Source organism: Homo sapiens, chromosome 7, assembly GCF_000001405.40.
Source record: "Homo sapiens chromosome 7, GRCh38.p14 Primary Assembly".
NCBI classification, from domain to species: domain Eukaryota; kingdom Metazoa; phylum Chordata; class Mammalia; order Primates; family Hominidae; genus Homo; species Homo sapiens.
Window position 1 is genome coordinate 46687526 of NC_000007.14, and position 12150 is coordinate 46699675.

At 35.9% G+C, this 12150-nt stretch overlaps 1 long non-coding RNA gene across 1 annotated transcript; it reads right to left on the minus strand.

The window, feature by feature from the left end:
* Positions 1 to 353: 353 nt before the first annotated feature.
* On the minus strand, positions 354 to 9597 carry LOC730338 (uncharacterized). Its single transcript, NR_134575.1, has 3 exons — positions 9478 to 9597; positions 5286 to 5444; positions 354 to 2021 (listed from the first exon to the last, which is right to left on the minus strand). It is a non-coding gene; the product is annotated as an uncharacterized LOC730338 (long non-coding RNA).
* Positions 9598 to 12150: the final 2553 nt, after the last annotated feature.

Consider the following 12150-nt stretch of genomic DNA (forward strand, 5'->3'; position numbering starts at 1 on the left):
ATACATTCTAGAGATCTTCTGTACAACATAGTGCCTACATTTAACATTGGGCACTTTAAAATGTTACTAAGAGGGAAGATCTCATGTAGCATTCTTACCACATAGACACAAACACACACATATATGCATGGACACACACATGCACACACACACAAACAATCATAAGGACATGGGGAATTTTTTGGAGATATTGGATAGGCTTATTTCCTTGATTTTGGTGATAGCTTCACAGGTCTATGCACATGTCCAAACTCATCAAATTGTATACATTAGTTATGTACAGTTTAGTCCTATATCATCTGTATTAGTCTGTTTTCATGCTGCTATAAAGAACTATCTGATACTGGGTATTTATGAATAAAAAAGTTTTAATTGATTCACGGTTCCACAGGTTTAACAGGAAGCATGGCTGGGAAGCCTCAGGAAACTTACAATCATGGTGGAAGGCAAAGGAGAAGCAAGCACATATTACCATGGTGGAGCAGAAGAGAGAGAGCAAGCAAGGGGGGAACTGCCACACACTTTTAAACCATCAGATCTCGTGAGAACTCACTCACTATCATGAGAACAGCATGGGGGAAATCCACTCCCATGATCTAATCTCCTCCCTTCGGGTCCCTCCCCTGACATGTGGGGATTACAATTTGACATGAGATTTGGATGGGGACACAGAGACAAATCATATCATCCCACTCCTTGCCCTTCACAAATCTCATGCCCTTCTCACATTTCAAAATCAGTCATGCCTTCTCAACAGTCCCCCAGAGTCTTAACTCATTCCAGCGTTAACTGAAAAGTCCAAGTCCAAAGTCTCATCTGAGACAAGGAAAGTCCTTTCTGCCTATGATTCTGTAAAATAAAAAACAAGTTAATTACTTCCAAGATACAATGGGGGTATAGGCATTGGGGAAATGTTCCCATTCCAAATGTGAGAAACTGGCCAAAACAAAGGGGCTACAGGCTCCATGCAAGTCCGAAACCCAGCAGGGCAGTCATTAAGTCTTAAAGCTCCAAAACAATCTCCTTTGACTCCATGTCTCATATCCAGGAATGCTGATGCAACAGTGGGGGGCTCCCAAGGTCTTGGGCAGCCACCAGAGTAGCTGGGACTACAGGTATGAGCCACCACACCGGACCGTCCTAAAGATTAATGATCAATCTACGGCCTAAGCAATCCAAGCCATAAGCAGTGTCTGAAGATTAGGTAAAGATGCAATGTGCCTGCAGATGAGCCCTAAGTCCATTTCTGCTACTTCAAAAGTTATTGCAGGGAGCTTCAGTTCTAGCGAGTGCTTTCCACACAAACCTGCAAATATGTCTTTTTTCTTAACTTTAGGTCTATGGAGAAAAGGTTGAAAGGCCCAAAATGACTGATGAACATGATATATAATGACAGCTGGCTCTTAAAGATTCTGTTAGCCCCTGGTATTAGGAAATCCAAGTGAAAGGCCCTGATTATGCTAAGGGTTGCAAAGATGCCCAATAATATTTGAATTTCAAATGAACAACAAATAAGTTTAACATAACTATGTCATAAATATTGCACGGAACACACTTTCACTAGAAAAATATATCTTTAGCTGAAATTCAAATTTAACTGGGTATCTTGTATTTTTATTTGCTAATTCTGGTAACTAATATAGCTTACATGAACTCTTGCAAAATATCCAAAATGCATTTCTGCTTCTCGCTTAAGGAAAGACTTCTGGTTGTCCTGGAATTTGAGGTGCTTGAAGGTCTGCTGTCAGCTCAACTTTGCATCTTCTTTCTCTGGGATGCCCCTCCCATACCATTTTTAGTCACGCAAAATCTCTTGTACTTTTGAGCAGGTCATATGTTTCTATGTTTCCCCATCTTCTCGAAGACTGTCTTCATCACCTGCGTGGCCATTGCTCACTTTTCTCTTTGTAGAAACTGTCTTCAAAATCTAGGTCAAATATCATACATCCATGATTCCTTGGCTGGCTCTCCGAAAGGTCAAATAGTAATTTTTTAAAAATTAATGATGTCTGTCTTCTTGTCTATGAACAGAAATGCATCATCAGTGCTGAGTCAGAAGGACTAAAAGATTAAGGTTTCAGAAGCACTGGGAGATCTGGGAATGGGAAGTCCAGAAGAGTACCCATCAAAAGTTAGGGTGGCTGACCTGAGGGCTTCAGACTGAAAGCACCAAAGCAGTTGGTTCTCATGAGCTCTCTGGGGATGGGGACTGTGAGAATCCCCATAACCAATGGGAGTTCCTACTAGCTCATTCAAGCTACAGCCTCAGGCACATGGCCCTCAGGGCCATGCTGGCCAGCCACACAGCCCTGCAGATTGTTCCTGAGAATAAGGACTGCTCTTTTCACACCTGGGGGAGTGCCTCTCGTTGGTCCACTCAAATGTGGAACTACGGGTAGAAGGGATATTGGGCAATGCAATTCCCAGCTTGTTTTTGGCATACAGAAAGGGTCGCGGCAGGGCCAGTCTACGGCATGCAATTTAGCACATCACCTTTGCTTCAAAGACATCATCTTGACTTTTGTAATTTTATTAACTGGATTCGTAGACTTACCTTGGATGGGGATGGCATCTTACATATTCTTTGATTTGCAATTCCCAGCATAGTGCTTAGCAAATCTTCAATAAATGAACAAATAAATCAAACTTAAAAGTATAGCAGAAGGCCTAGAGTCTATCTTCAGCTCCACACATTCTTATTATTTTGCCAAAATCACTAATTACAAGCCTTCATATTTGCATCATTAAAACTATATAAACATCTCCATCCCACACTCACATACTTTTTTAAAATTAACAGCTGTGAGTGATATCACTCCATGAGTGATAGAGATAGCTCTGTAGGCTGAAACAGTTGCTTACAAAAATAAGATCTCTTTTAAAAAAGATGTTAATAATTTTAATTATACCACATTTAAGCAGCAGAAGGGGGATTTATTTTGCCCTCTGCATAACAGTTTCCTTTTGTATGATGCTACAGCCATTTCTTAGTAAATAAATGAATTAATTAAAAATTATTGCTTTAAAATTATGATTTATTGCTGCCACAGATGATTACAAAAGCCATGTACCCATGCTTCAAAGAGTAAACACAAGAGGAGTCTTCTCCTACTGTGACAATATGCCACATATGGAAAAATCAAGATGAACAACTTAATAAACCTTTAAAAACTGTTGCGATCACTTTTGGTCACTGTCACTGTACAGGATTATTTGCAGGGCTTCTGAGGTCCACTAATTATTTTCCTCTACTTTCATGCCACCAGTTACCTTGGCTTGCCTTCATTTACTGAGTAAGGTAAAATGCTGTCACAAATGTTTATCATGATCTATGTTACATGCTACTGCTTTAGTTGGCAGAGGACATTACCTCACAAGGGAGGTGGCCTGGGTATTAATATCAGTATTGGCTCAAAGAAGATGCTTTACCTTCCTTCCAGTTCTCAGCTGCTTTTTCATCTTGAAAATAACCTCATTCAGATAATAAGGATTCTAATACTCTGTTCTGCTCAAAATTTTTATTAATGCATAATAACTTTACATATTTTGTACCACTTGATAGAAAGATATAAAATGTGTTTTAATAGGGTTTGAAAAATCACAATTACTGTTATTTCATAATTTATATTAATTGCAGAATCAGATTTCCCATCAATAAACTAGTACTTGAAAGTGAATGAGGAGGTAACTTCATGGAAATGATGAAATAAGAAGCCCCATCAATTGATTTCTCCCTGGAAACAATCTTTAAACTGACAAGAAACTGACCATATCAACTTTTTCAAAATTCTCAGATCCCATGGAAATCTCACAATACCAACGGAGTGTTTAGTGAAGAAAGAGGCTTCAAAGTCTCATTAATATATAGTTATGTCCATTTTGTTTACCTATCTAACTTTCCCTAATCCCTAGGCTCATGGCAGCGCCCCTCAGTCTGGAGTGGCTTTCCAGGAAGCATCTGATTAAAGAATTTAAGACATACAGTAGCTACTTATAGAGCTCTGGGGCATGGGACCATAGATGAGGCAAGCAACAAAGATTACCACAAGCCTGGGAAGAAGGAGGCTGAGAAGGAAGCTTCTTTGGGGAAATATATATTCTGAAGGGTTTCCAGATGTAACAGGAAATATGAAGTATACTATTTATGCTCAGGACTGGACATACATTCAGAAAAAATCTAAGAGTACCGTAGTATTGTAAGTCTAATATTGGGCTTCATGTAAACAGAAAGTGAAGGCTAAGGCAGAGTCACACATGGCTCGACCTAAAGGACTACCTCAGTCAGAGCCTGTCTTCAAAGATTGGGAGACTTTTTTTTTCTTTTAGACTCCAAGCATTTCATCAGCTCTCTGTCAGGTAACTGGCTAACTGATGAGATAATAGAATAGAAACTGTGGTGGCAATATACGAGAAGAAATATATTCTTTGCAAAAATAGTTTGGAAAAGTCACTAAACAAATAGATGACTGCAAACCTCAACAATACACAATAGCAAATTCTGAAGTGGAGGAAAGACTAATTTCTAGTATTACTACATTCAAAGTGCCAAATTTCAACCAAAAATTATAAGACATATAAAAAAAATTGGAGGCTGGACATGGTGGCTTATGCCTATAATCCCAGCACTTTGGGAGGCTGAGGTAGGTGGATCACTTGAGGTCAGTAGTTCAAGACCAGCCTGGCCAAAATGGTGAAACCTCACCTCTACTATAAATACAATAATTAGCCAGGTGTGGTGGCACACACCTGTAGTACCAGCTACTCAGGAGGCTGAGGCAGGAGAATCGCTTGAACCCAGGAGGCAGAGGTTGCAGTGAGTTAAGATTGTGCCACTGCACTCCAGCCTGAGCAACAGAGCAAGACTCCATCTCAAAAAAAAAAAAAAAAAAAAAAAAAAAAAATATATATATATATATATATATATATATATATATATATATAAATTATGGCTCATTCACAGGAAAAAAAAAGAAAATAAACTTACAGAAACTGTATCCAAGGAAACTCAGGCATTAAACTTACTAGACACTTTAAATCAACCAGCTGAAATATGTGCAAACAGCAAGAAAAAACAATTAATAAAGAACTGAAGAAAACTAGGAGAATGATGTACAAACAAGTCAAGGATATCAATAAAGATATAGTATAAAAACAAAATAGAAATTCGGATACTAAAAAGTATAATAACTAAAGTGAAAAATTCACCAGAAAGGTTCAACAGCAGATTTGAGTAGACAGAAGAAATAATCAGTAAACTTAAAAATAGGACAATTGAGATAACTTACTGTGAAAAGAGGAAGCAAAACAAGCAAGTCTCTGTAAGATAATTCATTGGTTCTTTTGGTCTCAGGCCGCCATTTTGTAACTTGCTCTTGTACACTGCCTTCATGACTTGAAAGAATTAATGCATCTTCAAAATTCTGCTCTGTACCTAACAACAGAGTCTGAAAACATAAGAATTATAGTATGCTTTCTCTTTTTGTTTCTCTAAAGCCCTTCTATGAAGTAAATAGGTTAAATCTTTTTCATCAAAGTTGAAATGGCTTGCCATGGGTCTAGATAAGACTAGAAACTGGACTCTCCAAATTTCTATTATAAACTCAAAATCTAAGTATTGTTTTGGACCTATCCACAGCAGCTTCGTGTTCAGAAGTAGAAACGACTTTGTCAAAGTGTTCTAGCAAGTAAGATTGTTTTAAATAGAAAAGAATTTATTCTAATGCATCATGATAAAGTGATTTAAAATTTACATTTTAGTATATTTCTGCTGAACTTGACTCTCTATGATTAAGTTGTCTTTCTTATACAGCTTTGGGAATTTTACAAAATATAAGATTGTCAGTCCAGTTCTTTACAGAAAAAAAGTTTGACAGGTAATTTCCATTCTCTTCTTTATTATCAGAAAGATATGATAATTATTATAATTGCTTCTTTTAACAATTTTAATAATAAGACAAATATTTTCAGTATTTAGTATGAGCTTAGTTACTGTACCAATTCTAGGCAGGCATGGTTTTCTGTAATTCTAGTGGGAACATAGGGAGGAAAGTTAATTGAATTTATATATAAGGAAATTAAACTGAATATCTTAAGAAATTTGCTCAAGTATACACAGTCAGAAAAATGACTAGTCCAAAAGGTGAAATTAGACCACCAAATCCCTAGGTCATGTTCTTTCCGTTAGGCTTAATAACTGCCAAAATGCAAGCCCTTAGTTTGCAGTCTTTAATGCAGATTTTCTTTGCTATATTAAACCTTACAGACATTACTGACATCAGATGAAATCGTGTCTTCTCCCTGGGCAGAGAAACACTTTTAAGATGTTCCCTAAATAATGGATGAGCACAAGGCTAGAGGCATAGCACTCAGACAGAAAGAGGAGACAAAGAACATTGCGGGCCAACTCTGTAATTGCACCTAAGTCATCTCATCAACTCCTCACAGCACATGACATTACAGCTGAGGAGACTAGGCTAGAGTTCCTACAGAGCTTACCAAAACCCCTAAGTTCATGCCTGTGTGTCCTCTTGTATGTGTGTGGCTTGGGGACAAAGACGTCCAGGGCAGGTGGGACAAAGCAGGAGGAACCACATTTGATTCTAATCTTTTTCTACTATGCTTTTTAAATTTGTTACGATGAACAAATCAGAATTACTTTTAGAAAATAATGTGTTTTCTATTCTACCTCATTTCAAATTGATTAGTGAAGAGGAAGATCAGCGGTCACGTGATCTCTTTGAAGGGTCAAAATAACTGAATTGAACACAAATAAGCAACAGTTATTTCAATAATTTCTCAAACACACTGGGCAAGGTTTGGGGTCTTTCATTCTAGTGTTTACTAACTGGTCATTAAAACAACAGAAAATACAAATGAATTAAACGAAATATCTCAAGCAAGCTCATTGAGAAAAGTTCTGTGTCATTGTATTGAGACCTCACATTTCAGCTATTTGATACAAGTTTTAAAAAGCAGGGAAATATTTAGAGAGAAATTTAACATGTTTAACAACAATTTGTGGAAATGCAGCAATATCAAAAACTTAACTTAGCATTAGAAATTTATACTTATTTTCCTGACCATTAATTTCCACACTAACAACAGATAGTAAAAGTAAAAGACAGATCCTCACCAGTAAGCAGCTTAAGGTAGGATAGGAAGGGATGCACCAGAAATGGTGAATGATAATAGGAGAGAATTTTTAGGTGAATGAAGTAAACTGTGCCTCTTTCAACCTTCTCAAACTTTGTTGTGTTTTTAATGAAATTCTAAGAATCAACCCTTCAATCATATTTCCATAGAGTAATGTAACAAATGTTTTTAAAATTTACATAGCTTCTTCCCAAACTGCATTTCCAATTAGTAATTAAAATCAAATTATTTTATCTCTCCTAATACTTTATCTTCCACCTGACTTTAAATATGAAAAATAAAAGCATAAATATCTTATTTTTAAAAAGGAAAAATATTCTATAGATATTGAATATTTTCAATAGAAAAAGATCTTTACATTTAAAAAATAGAAGAAATCACAAAAGATAATAATTCTATACTTTAACACATCAAAGTTAAAAAGTAATATATAAACTTTCAGTTTCTAGTCTATTAAAATAGAGAGAAGCTTAGAAGCCACCACTCATACCCACACAACTAGAACTAAGCTGAACAAACTGAAAATCAATAATGTTTTTCAGATCCGTCAGATAATAGAGGCCATAGGGCACTGCTGCCTGGAAAACTGGAGAGGCAGGTACCAAGAATCATAGCCTGCTGGGGCAGAGGCCCAGGAGCAGAGGCCCACAGCTGAGCTAATACTTGAACTGCAATTAGCAAATACTGGTGACCCAAAGTGGACTAGCTTGAAAGTTAAAAACACCAAGGGATCGAATATTAGAGGGATCCACACTCTTTCTTGCGTGTTACCTCCAGGAGCCCCACCAGGTTCTCAGAATTATTACAGAAAAATTCCCTCAAGCTTCCAGCAGAGGGGAGGAAAAGTAACCATTTTGAAATATGCTTAAAGAACTCTTTTTTCCTTAATAAAGTCCAGCCCACAGGCAAACTATTTCACTCAAGACCAGCTGACTTGGGTCTTATTGCCTTACCAATGTGGGGAAATAAAAATATCCAACTCAACCCCTGCTAGCTTTTGACTTGGGAAAAGGAAAGGAAAATACTAAAATCTAGCCATTTCTAGCCTTCTTTTCCTACCTAAATGGAGGCGGGAGGGAGCTAGGAAGTAATTCTAAAGGTCACAGCCCAGAGGCACAGTCTCACTAAGAGACTAAGATTGAATGATGGTATTACAGGAGACACCCCCCTCGCCACCTCCACATCAGTTAGCCTTCTGTATAATAACAGGGAATTACAGATAAAATGACCACAAGATTCAAACTCTATATGAGGAGGATCCAAGACAACGGAAAAGATAATCCAAAATACTAGAGAAAATGTTAGCTTCTGGCACCTAGAGCAAGAGAAAACAGTATACACACCTACAATTGAGCCAGATAAATGTAAACTTCACACTAAAGGCCTATTTATTTCAGTTCCTTTTACCTGACACATTAGGTCTGGCTCTCAAAAAAAAAAGTTACAAGGCATAAAAAAGGCAAAAATAAATTAAAAAGCAAAACAAGCTAAACAAAAATAAAACAAAACCAAAAATAAAAACAAAAAACCTTAAAGACATAAAATATCAGAATCAGACTCAGATACACCAAGGATTATAAAACTTATCAGTCCAGGAATGTAAATTAACTATGATTAAAATATGCTAAGGATGCTATTGGAAAAGTAATCAACAAGCAATAACAGATGGAAAAAATAAGCAGAGAGATGGAAACTGTAAGAAAGAATAAAAAAGAAAGGCTAGAGATTGAAAAAAAGAAAAAAAAAGTAATATAGACCTGAAGAAAGCCTTTGATGGGATCATCAGTAGACTGGACACAACTGGAGAAAAAAACAGTGAGCTTGAAACATGTCAACAGACACTTCTCAAACTTAATAAGCAAAAGAAAGACAAAAAGAAAGAAACAATAAGAAAACAGAGAACAGATTATCTAGTAACCGTTGGAAAATTACAGAAGGTATAGTAGATCCATAATGTGAATAGCAAAAGAAGAAAGAGAAAAAGAAACAGAAAAAATTAGTAGAATTAATAATGGCTTAAGTAATGGAGAATTTTCCAAAATTAATGACAGATACCAAACTACACATCTAGGAAGCTCAAGGAAAACCAAGCAGGATAGAGCCTTTTGTTTGTTTGTTTTTTTAAAAAGCATCTAAGCATATCATATTCAAACTGCAGAAAAATCAAAGAGAAAGAGAAAATTTTGAAAGAAGCCACAGATAGGGAAATGCCTTACCCAGAGAGGAACAAGGAAATGTATTATGTTAGAATTCTTTCTGGAAATCACGTGAGCAGAAAGAGGAGTGGGGTAAAATATTTACACTATTGAAAGAAAAGACACCCACTTGAAATTCCATATCCAGTAAAATTATCCTTCAGAAATGAAGAAATAAAGATGTTTTCAGATAAAAGTTGAGAGAATTTGTCACCAGGAGGCCTGCCTTTCATGATATGTTAAAATACCTTCTTCAGAGGAGGAAAATGATGCAGGTTAGAAACTTGTATCTACATTAATAAAGAAAGAGCATTTTTTTAAAAAAATCAAGAAAGGGCCTGGTGTGGTGACTCATGCCTGTAATCTCAGCACTTTGGGAGGCCAAGGCAGGCAGACTGGTTTGAGCTCAGGAGTTCAAGACCAGCCTGGGCAATATGGCAAAACCCTGTCTTTACAAAAATATAAAAATTACCCTGGCATTGGTGGCTTGTGCCTATAGTCCCAGCTAGTCAGGAGGCTGAAGCTGGAGAATCACTTGAGCCCGGGAAAGCAGAGGTTACAGTGAGCCGAGATTGTGCCACTGCACTCCAGCCTGGGCAACAGACTAAGACCCTGTCTCAAAAAAAAAACAAAAAAAAAATCAAGACAAACTAAAATATTTTGTCTTATTCTTAATTAGTGTAAGAGAAAATAGTTTTTTTCAAAATAATATTAGCAACAATGTACTAGCTAATTATAGCATAGATAAGTAAAATGAGTGATAGAAATACTATAAGGAACAGGAGAAAAAATTAGGAATATACAGTTACAGGGTATCTGCATTATCTAAACATCAGTAGATAATGCAGCATTAATTATCAGTAGATAATGCATGCTCTCAAATTATAGCATTATTCAAGAGTGGAGTTAGATTAATTACAAATGTATATTGCAAATGCTAGGGCAACAAGTAAAATGAAATATAAAACAAACAAAATAAAATAATATATTAAGTTATAATTGGTATGGTAAAAGAGAATCGATAATGGAATCATATGAAACCCTCAGGTAAAACCAAAGAAGGCAGAAAAGAATAGAAGACCAAAAAAATAAGATACAAACAAAGAACAAGGGCAACAAATAGAAAACAGTTACAGGTAATGTAGACATTAATCCAACTATATCATTAATCACAGTAAATGTGAATGGTCTAATATATCAATTAAATATACCAACTAAAAGGTAGAAACTTTAAAAGTGAATAGAAAAACAAAAGCCAACTATATGTTGTCCATAAGAATATAGAGACACAAAAGGGTTAAAAGTAAAGGCATAAGGAAAAACATACTATGATTACAATAATCAAAAGAAATCATGAGTAGCTATATAAGTTTCAAACAAAGCAGACTTCAGAGAAAGGAAAATTAACAGAAATGAAGAGGGACATTACATAATGATAAAGTAGTTGATATGGTTTCACTCTGTGTCCCCATAAAAATCTCATCTTGAACTATAATCCCCACTTGTGGGGGGTCGAGGGGACCTGGTGGGAGGTGATTGGATCATGGGAGCAGTGTACCCCATGCTGTTCTCATGATAGTGAGTTATTATAAAATCTGATGGTTTAAAAGTGTGTGGCATTTCCCCTCTCACTCTCTCTCTCTCTCCTGCTCCACCATGGTAAGATGTGCTTGTTTCCTCTTCACCTTTCACCATGATTGTAAGTTTCCTGAGGCCTCCCAGTCATGCTTCCTGTTAAGCCTGTGGAACTGTGAGTCAATTAAATCTCTTTTCTTAATAAATTACCCAGTCTCAGGTAGTTTTTTTATAGCAGTGTGAAAACAAACTAATATAGTGGCCAATAAGTCATAACAATCCTCAATGTGTATGCACCTAACAACATAGCCTCAAAATACTTTAAGTGTAAACAGAACTACAGGGAGAAATAGACAACTCTACTGTTTTAGTTAAATCTTCGATGACTCTCCATTTATAATTAACAGACCCAGCAAGCCGAAAATATGTAAGGACAGAGTTGAAATGAACACCACCACCAATCAATTGAACCTAATTGATATCTATAAAACACTTCATTCAACAACAGCATAGTACAGACTTTTCTCAATCTCATGTGAAATACTCACCAATAAATTATACAAATATTATTCAATCTCTTTTAAAAAATACAAGAGAGTAATTTGCTTAGTAATTAATTCTATGAAGACTGCATTAGTCTGAAAACAAAATCAAGCAGAGACATTACAGAAAAGGAAAGCTATAGGCCAATATTTCTCACGAACGTAAATATAAAAACCTGTAAATAGACAGAACATAGATAACAAAATATTAGCAAATTGAATGCAACAGTTTATACACCATAACAAAGTGGAATCTATCCCAGGTATGAAAAGCCCTTTGAACATTAGGTAATCAATCAGTTTAATCAATAAATCAACATACTAAATAATAAAGATTATATATTCATTATAAAAATAATGCAAAAAAAAGCATTTGACAAAATCCAATATTAATTCATGATAAAAACTCAGTAAGGTAGAAATAGAGGTAAATTGCCTCAACTTCATAAAGAACATTCATAAAAACTTACAACTAACATCATACTTAATGGTGAGACACCAGTTGCTTTCCTCATAAGATCAGGTTAAAAGCAAGGATGTATCCTTTCATTGATCTTAGTCAACATGATACTGGAAATCCTACTTAGTGAAACAAAAAATAAAAATAAATCAAAGGTATATAGAACAGGAAAGAAAAAATAATACCATCTTTGTTTGCAGATGACATAATTGTTTATGTACAAATC